This window comes from Homo sapiens, chromosome 13, assembly GCF_000001405.40.
Source record: "Homo sapiens chromosome 13, GRCh38.p14 Primary Assembly".
NCBI lineage: Eukaryota > Metazoa > Chordata > Mammalia > Primates > Hominidae > Homo > Homo sapiens.
The window spans coordinates 98,711,271-98,728,689 of record NC_000013.11 but is presented as its reverse complement, the minus strand read 5'-3'; the positions used below and the strand labels follow the sequence as shown (position 1 = coordinate 98,728,689).

The following is a 17,419-nucleotide window of genomic DNA, read 5'->3' as shown; positions in this document are numbered from 1 at the left end:
AAATATACAATAAATTTTTGTTAACTGTAGTCACCGTGTTGTGCTACCAAACACCAGCTCTTATTCCTTCTACAGAACTGTGTTTTTGTATCCACTAACCTTGCTTCATCCTCCCACCTTCACCTACCCTTCCCATCCTCTGGTAACCACCATTCTACCCACTACTACCTCCATGAGATCAATTTTTTAGCTCCTACATATGAGTGAGAATATGTGATATCTATCTTTCTGTGCCTGGCTTATTTCACTTAACCTGATGTCCTCCAGTTTCATCTGTATTGCTGCAAATGACAAGATCCAACGACAACTTTCATAGAAATAGAAAAAAATCCTAAAATTCATATACAACAACAAAAGGCCTCGAAAAGCCAAAGTCATCCTGAGCAAAAAGAATAGGGCCAGAGGTACCACCTGATGTCAAAATATACTACAAAGCTGTAGTAACCAAATCAGCATGGAAACAGACACATAGACCAATGGAACAGAAAAGAGAACCCAGGAATAAATGCATCCATTTATAGCCAACTCATTTTTGACAAAGCTGCCAAGAACAAACACTGGGAAAAGAACAGTCTAAAGAATAATTTTCCAGTGTAGTGATTCCCAAAGCACACTGCCTGGACCAGTGGCAGCACCCACACCTGGGAGCTTGTTAGAAATGCAAGCTCAAGTGTCCATCTCAGGCCTACAGAATCAACAACTCCAGGAATGGGGCCCAGCCATCTGTTCTTGCAAGCCCTCTGGTGATTCTGAGGCACACTCCAGTGTGAGACCCACTGCTATGGGGTCACCGATTCCTAGATTCCTAATGGAGGTGGAGCATGTTCAGGGAGCCCTGGCAACAAAGAACTCTAATATAAGGAAATCGGGGTGAGTGAGGGGGAAGGGGATGGATGTCCTGTGGGAAACAGGGTAGTATGTGATAGACACGGATGAACACAGGGCAATGTGTTTGTGTAGGAGCAGAGTGAGGAGGTGTAAAGACTAGAGACAAGGGCACAGCTCAGCTCTTGCCAAAATTCCGGGGAGACAGAAGAGCAGGTGCTGACGGGATGGGGATGAGGCGCTCCTAGGATGCACATGGGAGAGTCCACTGGACTTGACGTGCACCAGCTCCCTTGTATTCTCAGGCTGTTTCTTCCTGCTCTTCTCATTCATTCTTGTGACATAACCCCCTACCAGTGGTAGGTATTGTACAGGACGTTGAAAGTGGGGATGTTGGTGTGATGGATGGCACATGATTCTTCTGCTTTCAGAACCTGGTCCAGAAGGGAAGCAAAAATATAAACTGCCCATCATTACAGTATGGTGATGTAGGCACATCAGAGATGATTTGGGAAGGGAATATCGGTGGCAAGACTTAAATCATGGGGTGAGCCTGGCAGGCAGGGCCCAAGCCATAGGAGGTGGCGGTTGAGTGTGCACAGTGTGTCAGGCACTCAGAAGCATTTTATATTACAGAAATTTCATCCCCACCAAAACACTTGTCAGATATTGAAGAACATGCTAGAATGTGTGGATTTTATCCCGATGGGCGGCCTTTGAAGTGTTTCAGGAGGAAATGGTTTAGGCCTGATTCTCTGAGCTGCTGCTTCTCAATTTTGACTGCATACGAGAATTGCCTGAGGAGCTTCTTAAAAGAAAATACAGATGCCAGGCCCCACCTCAGATAAGAAGCATGAGTCTGGGGCCGGGATCCCAGGGAGGGCTGGAGCTGTTTGGTGAATGGCCCCTCTGACCACCCTAAAAAGTCAGAGGCTCTGAGTTTAGACACAGCAAAAACTATTGTAATGGCTTGACTTTAATATTGGGATTCTGTTTTTCTTTTAGGAATGTCCAAATCACACGTGAGTACCCTTTTTCCTTCTCTACATATCTTCATCTTGTAAATTTTATCATCTGTTTTACCCCTAAGGGTTCATTCACCTAACAGATCTGTACATCTGGAACCAGTGAGGGTATGATCCCGGATTTCCATGTGAGATGTCCTCTCCTGAGGAAATGCTGTGGATAATCCTCCTCAGACTAACAATACCACTGGATGCTTTATTTCATTGCTGTCTCTATGTGGAAGGATTAGTGTAGGGAATAAAATGATTAAATGCTAGTTTCCTGCTCTAGACAGTCACCGGTAAGTTACTGAATCTGCGTTGGCTGCCTTTCATGCCACTGGTGCTCCTTTGTGGCTATGGACCAGTGGGGGGTGTATTTCAATCCTGTGCTTGTTTCTTTTTTGTCAGAGTTTCTTTGGTTATCCCCTGAGCATCTTCTTCATCGTGGTCAATGAGTTTTGCGAAAGATTTTCCTACTATGGAATGCGAGGTAACTGTATTGGCCGTTTCTCACCCTTCAGGGAAGAGCGGGAGTGGCCATAACCAGTCCTAACTTTGTTTCCCCCTCCTCTTCCACCTGCCCTCTGCAAAAGCAATCCTGATTCTGTACTTCACAAATTTCATCAGCTGGGATGATAACCTGTCCACCGCCATCTACCATACGTTTGTGGCTCTGTGCTACCTGACGCCAATTCTCGGAGCTCTTATCGCCGACTCGTGGCTGGGAAAGTTCAAGTGAGTGGCTGGAAATTTCTTGTTCACAAACAAGCGAAAAAGTAAATGTAGGTTTTGTAGTTGGGAATGGTGGAATCTGGGAATGATGAATCAAAGAACAGAAACTCTTAGGAGAGGCCAGGTGTGGTATGGTTCATACCTGTAATCCCAGCACTTTGAGAGGCTGAGGCAGGAGTTTGAAACCAGCCTGGGCAACATAGTGAGACCCATCTCTACCAAAAATAAAGAAATTAGCAAGGCATAGTGGCATACACCTGTGGCCCCAGCTAGCTGGGAGGCTGAGGTGGGAGGATCCGCTTGAGCCCCAGAGGTCAAGGCTGCAGTGAGCTGTGATCACATCACTGCACCCCAGCCTGGATGACAGAACAAGACCCTGTCTCAAAAACAAATTAAAAACAGAAACAAACCCTTAGGAGAGCATTTACAGCGCTGTTTCTGCTCAGTATCCTGTCCCTAGAGCCTGAAACAGTGCCTGACATTTAGTGACTGCAAGCAGCATCTATAGGTTTTTGTTTTTCCCTAATGCAAACAAATGTAGCATCTTTGTCACATCTTGACACAGTAGCAGGGATACTGTCTATTATTAGTGATGTGTGAGGCATGGAGTTAAGGTCTGGGGATATGAAGAAACTCTCTAAAATACCCCCTTGGCTGCTGAGGGGCTCACGCTGCTTGAGGTCACATGGTGTGAGGTCACTAAAGAGAGAAGTCACCCAGCCCTCCAGGAAGGGCTCCACGAGCACACCCAGTGGGATGTTGTCAGGAAAGTTTTCCTGGGACTTAATGAAGAAGGAAGTAGAGGCTCTTCCAGGCCAAAGGAATGACGTGGGCTGTCTTAGTCCACTTGTGTTGCTATAAAGGAATACCTGAGGCTGGGGAATTTATAAAGGAAAAAGGTATATTTGGTTGATGATTCTGCTGGCTGGAAGACCAAGCATCTGATGAAAGTCTCAGGCTGCTTCCATTCATGGAGGAAGGTGAAGGAGAGCTGGCATGTGCAGAGATCACATAGCCAGAGGGGAAGCGAGAGAGAGAGAGGAGGGAAGTGTCAGGCTCTTTTCAACAACTAGCTCTTGCAGGAACTCACTCATGACCATGAGGACAGCACCAAGCCATTCATGAGGGATCTGCCCCAGTGTCCCACACACCTCCCACCAGGCCCCACTTCCAACACTGGGATCACATTTCAGCTTGAGGTTTGCAGGAGACAGATAACCAAACTGTAGCATGGACAGAAGAAAGAAGAATCACTACCTCTAAAGAATTCTACAAAAATTACCAAAGGTCTACTTCCTGTCCAAATATCATTACCAATCAGAATATAAGTAATTCTTACTGTTTAAAAATATAGGCTGGGTGCGGTGGCTCACACCTGTAATCCCAGCACTTTGGGAGGCCAAGGCAGGTGGATCACAAGGTCAGGAGATCGAGACCATCCTGGCTAACGTGGTGAAACCCCCGTCTCTACTAAAAAATACAAAAAATTAGCCGGGCATGGTGGCGGGCCCCTGTAGTCCTAGCTACTCGGGAGGCCAAGGCAGGAGAATGGTGTTAACCCAGGAGGCGGATCTTTCCCCTCTCCTGGCCCTCTGGCCAAAATTTTGTTAATTTTTTTTTAAGAGACAGGGTCTCGCTCTGTCACTCAGTCTGGAGTGCAGTAGTGCAATCCTGGCTCACTGCAGCTTCAACCTCCTGGACTCAAGTGATCCTCCCACCTCAGCCTCCTGAGCAGCTAGGACCACAGGCATGCACCACCACACCTGACTAATTTTTTATTTTTTTGTTGAGATGGGGTCTTGCTATGTTGCCCAGGCTGGTGTCGAACTCCTGAGCTCAAGCAGTCCTCCTGCTTTGGCCTCCCAAAGTGCTGGGATTACAGGCATGAGCCACCATGCCTAGCCCAAAACTTTGTTCTATTCTTTTTGCCCATGTGAGTTCCTGAGAGTTAACAGTGTTACTCAAGTTTGAGAAATAAGTGTATTCAGGATTGGGCTCTTGAAAGCTTTCAAGGAGGGGGTCTTTTGTGGTGGAGTCAAAAGTGGATGGCTATTGTGCAATTAACTCGGATTCTCTTAATCTTTGGAAACACAGGACCATTGTGTCGCTCTCCATTGTCTACACAATTGGACAAGCAGTCACCTCAGTAAGCTCCATTAATGACCTCACAGACCACAACCATGATGGCACCCCCGACAGCCTTCCTGTGCACGTGTGAGTTGGTGCTCACTGCTGCCCCCATCACCCTCCCACCTTGTGCGCATTTGATGCCTTAAGTCTTCGTCTTTTTCCTTGAACTTCACTGAGAGCATAAGGAGGTTTTTCCTCCCCCTTGGGCAGCATGGAGAAGGCTGTCAAATAGATTGAGCTGGGTCTTCAGGATGTCACCACCCTAACAGTTGTCTAGAGGCATTGCTCACTCTGAGGCTCAGCTGTCATGCGCCATCATATCCCATGTGAAGTACAGTCAGTGCGCAGGGGATTCATGTTGGTCTTGACCTACCCTGGAGGGATATAAAGTCCCACAGACCTTGATCCTTCACACCGCCAGGTGTCCTCAGGACTCCAGGACCTTGGGTTTTCTGTCTTGTACCACACTTCTGCCTATTTTTCAATAATCCCGTTTCATAAATATTTGTTCCAGCCATTTGTGCTGGGCTCTGGATGGCAGGTGTTATTGATAAATGCTCATGTGCTGGATTAATCTTGCTTCACTGCAGTCTGGCCTAGTAGACTAGTTGTAGAGATTTATTTAGTTTCCTGTTTTTGTGCTTCAGTTCCTTGATCTATAAGTAAACTATCTAATGAGCTGGGAAAGAAGAATAGAAACTCAAATTAGTATCGGCAATCCCCACACTGCTGGCTTATCAGTTGATCAGACTGCTGTCCAGACTGGATCTCTTGATGCAACACTCTTGGTGCCCAGAGGGAACTGTGTCGGTGGAGGGAGTGGCTGTGAGCCCTCCCACAGAGCAGCTCTGTGGCCTTGGGGAGGTGTTCTTCTCTGAGCCTCAGTTTTCTAATCTGTAATATCAGTTAAGAACATGGACTTTGGAGCCAGATTCTGGCTGTGCCCTTTCCTAGTTGTGTGAGCTTGAGCAAGTTTCTTAACCTCTATGCCTCAGTTTCCTTGGTTGTAATAGTACCTACTTCGTGTAGGACTGTTGTGGGTTAATCCAAGTAAAGCACCTAGAACACTGCCTGACAAGTGATCAGTGCTCAAGAAATATTAGCTTTTCATTTTTCATTTCATGGAGTTCGTATTGGAGCACACCTAAAATTCTCACAAGAGTAAATTGTATATAATATTCAGTTGGCCGTGTTTTTGTTGTCTTTTAAAATGCTTAGATTGACAACATTAAATGCAAGTTGTATTAAGAGGCAGACAAGATTAAAGGGGTGATTTGGCCAGCCAATTCAGGAAGATTGGTTCAGGAAGCATGATTTTTAAAGAATTCTTTACCTGTGCAATATTTTCCTTGACTTTATCTGTCTCATAAAATTTTTTAAGTGTTTAAAAGCAACATTAGCAACCAAGAAGATATGGGATACATGCCTATAAAACCAGAAATTTGTAGTACCTACCTGTAAATTTAATAAAACTACAAAGTGAGGGTCAATAAATGCTATGAATTTTTTTTCAACTCAGGAGTTAAAATACTTAGCAATAACCTAGAAAATACAAGAGTAAATTAAATAACCCTTAATCCCACCATCTAGACATGACAATAAATCTTTTAGTCTATTTCCTTCCAGTTTTCTGTACCTTGTAAACAAACTGAGATCATACTACCTAACCTGATATTCCGCTTTGCAATGAAATCATGTTTTCCAATGTTACTTAATGACTATTATGAGTCGGTTATGACTGTACCAGGCACAATGCTTATATTTGTTCAATAACATTTCATTTATCCTCTCTTTTACTGGAAACAATAAAGCTACAAAAGAACCCCAAACCTAAGGCTTTGCTCAGCTCGCAAGCTACTGTTTTATGTTTTCCGGATGGTAAATTATTAGATGGGGGCAGGAGTTTGAAGGCCCATGAGTTCAAGTTTGCATTTGACTATCACGCTGCATTCCTGTGAGCTGGCTTCTCGCGAGATTGTCTTCTTCTCTATGTGTGTCACTATGCCAGGCCCACTGAGGGAAACTGGGGAAAAGAGAGGCCTTCTACTTGCGAGGATCTGCCATGTTGGCCCTAACACCCTGTCTTTCCCAGGGTGCTGTCCTTGATCGGCCTGGCCCTGATAGCTCTCGGGACTGGAGGAATCAAACCCTGTGTGTCTGCGTTTGGTGGAGATCAGTTTGAAGAGGGCCAGGTAAGGGTAGGGGCCTCCCCAGAGCCCACGTGAATGAACTACACATCCAGGAGTCAGAGGCCACGGGCACAAAGTCTGTTCTACATCGGATTCTTTTTAAGTACATTAGAAAGTAAGATACCAACCAAAACTAAGTTAGTAGTAAAATGAGATCATCAGCTCCCTGTGCTCAGTGGATTGATAGCCAAAGTCATCTTACTTTCTCCTTTTCATTGCAGGAGAAACAAAGAAACAGATTTTTTTCCATCTTTTACTTGGCTATTAATGCTGGAAGTTTGCTTTCCACAATCATCACACCCATGCTCAGAGGTAAGAGATACCTGAAAGGAACTTCTGTTGGTCTTTTTTTAGTAAGGCCAAGTCCGTGTCTTCTTCGTTTTGTTCTGTTCTTCCCTTCTGCCCTGTTTTCTAGCTGTCAGCTACATGCTGGGATGCACGTTGGAATCTGGAGTAAGTGCTTCCTTCCCTGTGAGTTTCACCTCCTTTTTGTCTTATTTAAATCCCTTATCCCAGTGACCACTGGAGAGTCTAAGCCATCCTTAGCATGGGCATCCATCTTCCTAAACTGTTATTCATGCAAAGTCATGCTCGTGGTAAGAGGTAAGAGGCAAGAGAGGTGCCTTGGAAGCCAAGCTGGTGGCCGTAGCTGCCATTTTAGCCTTCAAGCTTTGCTCCCCAGTGATATTTCTGTGACTTAGGAAGAGTTTACTGGGCAAAATTGTATTGATTTTTTGTTTGTTTTGTTTTGTTTTTAGAAGGAGTCTTGCTCTGTCACCCACGCTGGAGCGCAGTGGCGTGATCTTGGCTCACTGCAACCTCCACCTCCTGGGTTCAAGCAATTCTCCTGCCTCAGCCTCCTGAGTAGCTGGGACAACAGGCGCCTGCCACCATGCCCGGATAATATTTTTTGTATTTTTAGTAGAGATGGGATTTCACCATGTTAGCCAGGATGGTCTCGATCTCCTGCCCTCGTGATCTGCCTGCCTTGGCCTCCCAAAGTGCTGGGATTACAGGTGTGAGCCACCACGCCTGGCTAAGGCAAAGTTTTTTTCTTTGCTTTCCCATCATCTCAAGTATTTCCAAAAGAACTGCTCAGATAAAGAGAATGGGACAGTGTCAGTAACTATCAGAGGTTTGTGCTTGCTAATGCTCCATAGAGAGTTTGTGAATTTCCCATGTGGAAGGGAATATGTGGTGTTACTGGTGACAAACTAACAAGACCATCCTGTCCACATTTGAATCAGATTAGATTATGAAATAAAGATTTCAGGGGGATTTATGTATTCTTCCACAGCATAGTGGTTTGAAGATGACAGACAATTAAACCCCATTCCAACTTGTTTTATTTTTTGTTTTTTTCCAACTTGTTTTGTATAAAAATGTAACAGCTTTTATTCGTGTGTCCTGTTCGCTCACCTCTCCTACCTCTATGTTCTACTAGAGGGTGCATGTTTAAATTATAGAATCTGTTAAAGGATAATTTTTTAAAAGGAAGTTCATGACTCTCTTACAAATATAAAGTGAATATGTGACAAAAATTTTATGTAACTTGTTAATTAGTTGATAATTAATCAGTTCAAATAAAGATTTGACTAACAAATTTCTATTCTTTATAGGGGGAAAATTATTTTTTGCCATGAACAGGAAACATTTGCATGAGTGTCACTTCTGCTAGTTAACTTCTTTCTCTCCCGAATTGTGAGATAGCTGAACCAAAGCAAAACCCTGATAGCAGCAGATCATGCCTGGAGGCGCCAGCATTCCATAGAAAGGATTTCCAGGAATCTCCGTGACTTCTTACAAAGGCTTACTTTTAAAATAATTTTTATTTATTTATTATAAATATATATATAAATCCTGGGATTTCAAAGCTAAAATGGCTGTTGGTCAGAGGTTGCCAAACAGTGGCCCATGGGCCGAATCCAGAAATCTGGGCAAGACCATTCATTGATGTATTGTCTACAGTTGATTTCCCCTGCAAAGGTGGGGTTAAGTAGTTGACAGAGACCAATGGTTCACAAAGCCTGAAATATTTACTGCTGGGCCCTTCACAGAAAAGTGTGCCAACCCCTGCCCTAGGTCATCGAATTGCTACCTGATTGGCATGAATTCAGGAACAGATAGTATTGATTTTCCAGTGTACTTTTGATTTACTGAGTCCCATATAATCAAGTTAGTGTATCCAGGTCATCTTTATCTCCCCCGTAAAGAAAATCCACAGAACCAAGAGGGGGCCGCTGATTTTGGCCAAGCTGGGAACACCCATCTATTTAGGGGCTGAGATTAGAACTGGTTTCCATCTCCTGCTCCTCCTGCTTCACTGCTGCTTTACTTAGCTGGCAATTATGTCAGTGAGGCAAATGGATATGTCTAGAACAGTATGTGAAAGCAATACGTAATTATCAGTGAGGGATCTTTACAAATGGGAACTATATGCTCATTACCAATGCCATAACAATTTTAATCTTGTCATTTCTCCCCAGTTCAACAATGTGGAATTCACAGTAAACAAGCTTGTTACCCACTGGCCTTTGGGGTTCCTGCTGCTCTCATGGCTGTAGCCCTGAGTAAGTGGAAATCGGTTGAATTAATAGAAGCCTAGGACCAGGTCAGGCCCTACGTGAATGATTGTGACTAATTTTTTAAAGTGCATGTAACAAGTGGCAACAAAAAGTAGTGAGAAGAATTGGCATCAGATGTTAAACATGCTCTAAGTATTCAAAGAAAGTAGGATTGGCACATCAATTCCGAGGGAATAGGATCAAAAAAAGAATTACAGGAAAAGGAACCAACTGAGTTGGTCATTGAAAGGTGTAATACTATTTAGGCAGATTAAGATGAAGGTGAGAGAGGCCCAGCATGGTCACTCATGCCCGTAATCCCAGCACTTTGGGAGGCCAAGGCAGGGGGATCCCTTGAGTTTAAGACCAGCCTGGAGTTCAAGTCCAGCCTAGGCAACAGAGAGAGACCCTACCTCTAAAACAAACAAACAAAAAGACAGAGTCTTGCTCTTGTCGCCCAGGCTGGAGTGCAATGGTGTGATTTCAGCTCACTGCAACCTCCGCCTCCTGGGTTCAAGCGATTCTCCTGGCTCTGCCTCCCAAGTAGTTGAGATTACAGGCACCGGCCACCACATATTTTTTATTGTTAGTAGCAACAGGGTTTCACCATGCTGGCCAGGCTGGTCTCGAGCACCTGACCTCAGGTGATCCACCCACCTCAGCCTCCCAAAGTGCTGGGATTACAGGCATGAGACACAACACCTAGCTGGTTTTTTTGTTGTTGTTTTTGTTTATTTGTTTTGCTTGTTTTTTTAATTAGCTGGGTGCTGTGGCTTATACCTGTAGTCCCAGCTCCTCTGGAAGCTTAAGTGGAAGGATTGCTTGAGCCTGGGAGGTCGAGGCTGCAGTGAGCCATGATTGCACCATAACACTGCAACCTGGATGATAGAGCAAGACCCTGTCTCAAAAAAAAAAAAAAAAAAAAAAAAAAAAAAAAAAAAAGATGAAGGTGATAGAATCTGCTGGATTAGCTGAACCCAAGGCTAAAAGCTTTTGTTCTTGTCAACATGTACGTATCTATAACTTGCTTGAAGAAATGGCAACCTGGTTCAGTTGCCACTGAAACACTCCAATGAACATCTACATTTCCATAATTGATTAGGTTGGTGCCAAAGTAATTGCAGCTCTTGCCATTAAAAGTAATGGCAAAAACCGCAATAACTTTTGCACCAAACTAGTATCACCTCCCCCCGCCCCCCATATGTTTCTACTAGAATTCTTTCCCACTGGACAGAACATATATGTCTATTCGAGGCATTCATTGGCACATTAGTTCTTGGCATTGGCTTTTAGGAAAGGTGGCGTTTTCTACATGGGATGCTTGGATGTGAAAGGTGGCCAAGAACGGTGCAAAAAGAAAACAGCCCAGCGGCCACCTCAACTCTTCAGAGCCCCTTCTCCCACTCAAATGAGGTTGTCATCAGCTTTGCTCAGCTGACAATCACGTCTCTCTCTCCAATTTTTGTTTTCAGATCTTAGTAGTACATGGAATAGGACCGTTTTCAATCTCTTTTGCTCACAGTGTAGCAATTTAGCTTTCCCCTTTCATTTAGGTGAGAGCTCAGTATTCTCCTCTTTTTAATGTCTCTTTTCTTCCATGGTTCTTCCCATACTGCCACCGTCCCCTAGCAGGCTCATTGATACCTCCTCCTCTCTAATTCTTGGCAGGAGACAGAGAGCATTTCCAAAAGTCTTGCTTTACACCAGACACTGTATTAAGCACGTTAGGTACATTGTTATCTCATCTGTACAAGTCATTCCTCTATCAACGATTATGCTTTTTCTTCTGGAGGAATTGAGAACAGGCCAAATCCGATGTGTCAACACTGCCTCTAGAAATTCCTACGCTTGAATTAGGTTTCAGTTAATCAGAAGCTTAAAGATTAAATATTAGTGGTAAAAGAAAACATAGACTCAATCTCTTGGACATCTTTACCATCCATGTCTGCATTCAGAAATGTTGACATTGGGCAAGAATATAAGTAAACATCTCTTTTATCAGCTATAAAGAACATCTATATTATAGGCACATACTTGGAGCTAGCACCTGTCAAAAATCTCAGACCCTCTTAATTGAGAAAAATAAGTAGAATTCAAGCTATCGGTGTTTTTAAATTATTGAACTGTGGTATTGGATAATCAGAAATCCTAGTATATGGACTATGTTTTCAGATATACTTGCAACAATGCTTTAAATTTTTAAAAATTTTTTAATAAGATGATAGAGATAGGATCTCATTATGTTGCCCAGGCTGCTCTTGAACTACTGGTCTCAAGTGATCCTCCTGCCTTGGCCTCCCAAAATGCTGGGATTACAGACATGAGCTGCCACACTCAGCCCTAGAATGGTTTTTTTCTAAGTTATTTTCACAATATGACTTGCCAAAAAGGTCCGTGGAAGAATGACCTCATTGAAAAGGTGCTTCTAACTTTTGTAAAACTGTAGCTGCAGATGCAATTAATTTTAACTGCTTCTGTACAGTGACCACAGAAAAAATTTCTGCCACATATGATTAAGATTAATTCTTTTTTCCTGAATATTAAAAAGAGAAAGAAAAAGGTTTCTCTTCCCATTGCATTCAGAAGATTACAGCTCCATTTATTTTTATTTTTATTATTTTGATATGGAGTTTCACTCTGTCACCGAGACTGGAGTGCAGTGACACGATCTCATTTCACTGCAGCCTCCACCTCCTGGGTTCAAGCAATTCTCCTGCCTCAGCCTCCCGAGTAGCTGGGATTACAGGTGCCCATCACCACACCCAGCTAATTTTTGTGTTTTTAGTAGAGACGGGTTTTCACCATGTTGGTCAGGCTGGTCTCAAACTCCTGACCTCAAGTGATCCGCCCACCTCGGCCTCTCAAAGTACTGGGATTGCAGGCTTGAGCCACCGCGCCTGGCCCCATTTATTGTCTTAGTAGAATAGTACTTTAATGTGTTATATGAAAGTACTGATTCCTTTTGTCTCCCTTTAAATAGAGATAGAACTTGTGCTTAAATAGCTGTGTGAGTGTACGTGAGCTACCTTAAGCTATGGGAAGTAGATGATATTAGGCTTACAGGTTGCATATTAGAAGACAAACCTAACGTTACTCAGAGGTTTTTGTGGATTGTGAGAGTTAAAAGCACTTTCTAAACTGTGAGGTTGGAAGGTAAACCCATTCCATAAGTAATCCCATTATCCCAAAACAAAGTTATAATTCAAATAAAGGCGCATCTCTCTAGGCCACAGGGCGCTCGGTCACATGCTTTGCTGACATGTCTTCTTCTGCCCTATCTAGTTGTGTTTGTCCTTGGCAGTGGGATGTACAAGAAGTTCAAGCCACAGGGCAACATCATGGGTAAAGTGGCCAAGTGCATCGGTGTAAGTATCTCAGCTGCTCTTTCTCAAGGCTATTTAACCACCTCAGAACCTTCTACTTTCTTTAAATTAAAATTTAAGCTTTGACTTTCCTTTAAATATATTTTTAGTGTTCTTAACTGTTTCAGTAAATTGTAGCTTCTTCTAAATGCAAAAAGACACAAACAGAACTTAATAAGGGAAGAATAGAAATGGCTCTTGAGCTTATAAAATAAGATCAATGGTCAAAGAAAAGCAAATCAAAGTGACTCTTCATCTGTCGAAATGGCAGAACAGTGCTTGAGGTTTGTCAGGGAGCAGTGAATCAAAAATGGGGAGGCTCAATTTGGCAATGTGTAGCAAGAGTCTCAGGTGTTCAGTTGCTTCAAGTCAGTCATGCTGCTTTCAAGAATTAAGAGTAAGAAAATAGGCTAGGCACTGTGGCTCATGCCCGTAGTCCCAGCACTTTGGGAGGCCTAGGCGGGCGGATCACTTGATCAGGACTTCGAGGCCAGCCTGGCCAACATGGCAAAACCCTGTCTATACTAAAAATACAAAAATTAGCCAGGCATGGTGGCGGGTGCCTGTAATCCCAGCTACTCTGGAGGGTGAGGCAGGAGAATTGCTTGAACCTGGGAGGCAGAGGTTGCAGTGAGCCGAGATTGTGCCATTGCACTCCAGCCTGGGCGACAGAGGGAGACTCTGTCTCAAAACAAAACTAGAGTAAGAAAAAAATATTTAAAAAGTGAACACAGACTCATGTACAAAGATTATCATTGTAATACTTATAATAGCAAAAATGTAAGCCCACAAATTGCTGCAAATAGGAAGACAGTGCTGAACTTACAGTTCATCTCTGGCATAGCATGCAGCCGGGAGCAGTCTTGTTTTTAAGGAATATGTAGTAATAGGAATGTGCAGAATATGGTTTCTTCCATAAGTACCTCCATAGGATATGCATATACACATACATTTATGGGTGGGAAATAAATGTTGAGAGTAGAATCCTTAGATAATGGAATCAAATGATTTTTTTCCTTATACACTCCCCATTTTTTTAGTGAACATACTGTATATGTTGTATAACTGGAGGTAAATGTGTCATTTATTAAAAAAAAATCACATGTGTGAATCTTATGGATGAAAAGGCAGCCTTAAGATAATTTTAGATCACTTACTTTATCTTACCTGGCCTTATTGCGTTAGATTATTGTATTATATTTCATTTCTTTTTTTTTTTTTTTTTTTGAGATGGAGTCTTGCTCTGTCGCCCAGGCTGGAGGGCAGTGGTGCACTCTCAGCTCACTGCAACCTCTGCCTCCCAGTTCAAGCGATTCTCCTGCCTCGGCCTACCAAGTAGCTGGGACTATAAGCACACACCACCACACCTGGCTAAGTTTTCTATTTCTGTAGAGACAGGGTTTGCCATGTTGGCCAGGCTGGTCTCAAACCCCTGACCTCAGGTGATCCGCCCGCCTCAGCCTCCCAAAGTGCTGGGATTATTGTATTATATTTCAATTGTATTGTACTATTAGATTGTTGTATTGTGTTGTATTTCACTTTTTGAAATAAATGTGCCCTCTCCCTGTCAAAAAAATCCCTTCAAGGACAGCTGTACTGTTTTCTTCTCACATTAGAACTGTTCCCACCAAAAAGCTTTTTCCAAGCAAAGAGGGGACCTTACCAATTACCCATCCAAGTCCTTCCTTAACAAGTCATTGACAACTTAGTTCAAACTCCAGAAGAACAACTTCAAGCTATTTAGGGTCATGAGAACTATATTGCGAAGTATCCTAAAGTCAGCCTGTAGCTTTGACTTACTTTTCTTTTTTTTTTTTTTTTCCTTTTTGAGACAGAGTCTCACTCTGACACCCAGGCTAGAGTGTAGTAGCACGATCTCGGCTCACTGCAACCTCCGTCTCCCAGATTCAAGCAATTCTCCTGCCTCAGCCTCAGCCTCCCAAATAGCAGAGACTATAGACGTACACTACCACGCCCAGCTAATTTTTGTATTTTTAGTAGAGACAGGGTTTTGCTATGTTGGCTAGGATGGTCTTGAACTCCTGGTCTCAAGTGATCCGCCCACCTCAGCCTCCTGAAGTGCTGGGATTACAGGTGTGAGCCACTGCGCCTGGCCAACTTACTGCCTTTCGATCACGCTCATGCCTCCAGCCTCCACCAGCCTCACCTCTTGCTGTGTCTTTGCAAATGCACTTTGCTCTTCCCAAAGGCCTTTTTCCTAAACAACACTAACAAGGAATCTTAGTGGCCCCTAATTTTATGATGGGTGGGCCATCGTATTTTTCTGACCTGTGTTATTATATCTTAAAATATGTTTCCCTATAGCCTTAATTTTTTAATAAATGTATTTCTCTGTAGTGTGTTCTTACTCTTAAAAACTAATAGTTCAGTTATTGGAAGGATTTTAAGTATGTTTGAAACAACTTAGTGTGTAAATCTGGTTTTTCAAACACAAACTTTATAAAACCTAAATACAGATCAAGTATTTCTAATAAAAATCTAGCATCCAAATTGAGATATGCTGGCCAGGCATGGTGGCTAATGCCACTCCAGCACTTTGGGAGGCTGAGGCGAGTGGATCGCCTGAGCTCAGGAATTTGAGACCAGTCTGGACAAAATGGCAAAACCCTGTCTCCATTAAAAAAAAAATTAAAACATTAGCCAGGCATGGTGGTACATACCCGTGGTCCCAGCTACTTGGGAGGCCGAGCTGAGAGGATCATTTGAGTCTGGGAGGTCAAGGCTCCAGTGAGCCAAGACAGTGCCACTGTATTTCAGCCTAGGCGACAGAGCAAGACCTTGTCTCAAAAACAAACAAACAAATAAACTGAGATTATGTCATAAGTGTAAAATATTCTCTGGATTTTGAAGACAATATGGAAGAAGAAGGTAAAAATTCTTATTAATTTTTAAATATTGATTACCTATTAAAATCATAGTGGGGTTTATCATGTTATACAAATGTATGTACAATGAATTTCACCTGTTTCACTTTTTAAGCTGGCTACTAGAAAACTTAAATTGCAAACACGTGTTGTATTTCTATTGGGCGTGCTTCTCTAGAGGATCTGGAGAGTAAAGTGGACACAGCTTAATTCTGTTCACCCCAACTCAAACGCTCTTAGTTGGACAGAGACTATTAATAGAAATAAGTACTCATATACTAGTAGATACAATTGTATATTTTGCTTTTCTCACACGTATATTTTTCTCCTAAAGGTAGTTTAATTGAAATGTGCTTCCCTGACAAAGTTGTTGGTCCTGTTTTGAAATTCGATTTTTCTTCCTTCCTTCAGTTTGCCATCAAAAATAGATTTAGGCATCGGAGTAAGGCATTTCCCAAGAGGGAGCACTGGCTGGACTGGGCTAAAGAGAAATACGATGTAAGTAACGGTCATTGCTACAATGACCCTGATTCCCCCAGGAAGTGAACACTGAAAAATCTCAATTCAGATTAAGGTTACATGGACAAAATGGTCAGTGATACCTTCCTAACCTTTACAGCATATTAAATAAAACTATGCATGAGTGCATTTTTTTAATTGAAAGAACTTGATAAATAGATCTGGAAATAATATTACCTTTTCATAGTTTTTCATTTGGTATAATCTGGCATTAATTATATGTAATTGGGATCACATAACCTTAGTTTGAATATAGGAGAGTCAAGAGGTGGTGACGGCGGTGGTGGGATTTACATTTAGTAAATTCACGTAATTTACCTCCTAAATAGATGTTTTCACTCATATTTTAAATAGTTTAGACATTTTCGATTTTCTAAAGAAAACTGCGGCAGTATGTTTTGGATTAATCACCTCCCAGCTTGCCTCTAGATGCAAATATCTGTGTCTCCACTGAAATCAGCAGCACCTGTAAGCCGTGAGTGGCACAGGACACAGGGTGTGGCTGATTTGTCCCTTCCCCACTCCAACTACAGGAGCGGCTCATCTCCCAAATTAAGATGGTTACGAGGGTGATGTTCCTGTATATTCCACTCCCAATGTTCTGGGCCTTGTTTGACCAGCAGGTAATGTGAAACTCTGCTTGTGCTCTTCTTCACGGAGCAAGCGTACATCCCGCACTGCCAGGTACCAAGGCTCACTTCATATTTCACATCTAAAAAGTTCTCCTCCAGTTTCTTATTTATATTTCACTTGTTTAATTGTTAGATCACATTGAGTTTATTGTAAAAAACAAAACAAAACAAAACAAAACCAAAAGCAATTCTAGGTAGTTCTATCCACATTTCTGTTGCTAACAATGAAGACAATTACATGAGGTCAAGTCAAGTAGCCTTGGGAAAGATTTCATCCAGCACTCTTCCAATCAAAACTGAGAGTCAAGAGTTTGTTTTCCTACCAATACAGCGTGGTAACAAGTTACATTGCCTTTTATGGAGCCCATACATAAATGGAGAGGGACTTGATCTCTTCCACTGTAAGATGGAATGCTTGGGCTAGAAGTACCATCCTGGGGTGAAAAATGACTCCTCTCCAAGCAGGGACCTACAACCTGGCAGGTGACCTGTTGTCTCTTTCTACCACAGCCCTAAGACACATACCCAGGAATTTTTCACAATCGTGTTAGACAACTCAGTGCATGGGGCTCAG

General features: G+C 42.7%; 1 protein-coding gene across 1 annotated transcript in view; it reads left to right on the top strand.

Annotated features, from left to right (window-relative positions):
* Positions 1-17,419, top strand: part of SLC15A1 (solute carrier family 15 member 1) — a 68,872-nt gene that overhangs the window by 23,983 nt on the left and 27,470 nt on the right. Inside the window, exons 2-11 of the mRNA NM_005073.4 lie at positions 1,831-1,847; positions 2,241-2,322; positions 2,426-2,567; positions 4,659-4,778; positions 6,787-6,886; positions 7,105-7,195; positions 9,370-9,453; positions 12,730-12,812; positions 16,106-16,192; positions 16,747-16,836. Coding sequence (NP_005064.1) covers positions 1,831-1,847; positions 2,241-2,322; positions 2,426-2,567; positions 4,659-4,778; positions 6,787-6,886; positions 7,105-7,195; positions 9,370-9,453; positions 12,730-12,812; positions 16,106-16,192; positions 16,747-16,836 — 896 coding nt within the window. The remainder of the gene's footprint in view (positions 1-1,830; positions 1,848-2,240; positions 2,323-2,425; positions 2,568-4,658; positions 4,779-6,786; positions 6,887-7,104; positions 7,196-9,369; positions 9,454-12,729; positions 12,813-16,105; positions 16,193-16,746; positions 16,837-17,419) is intronic.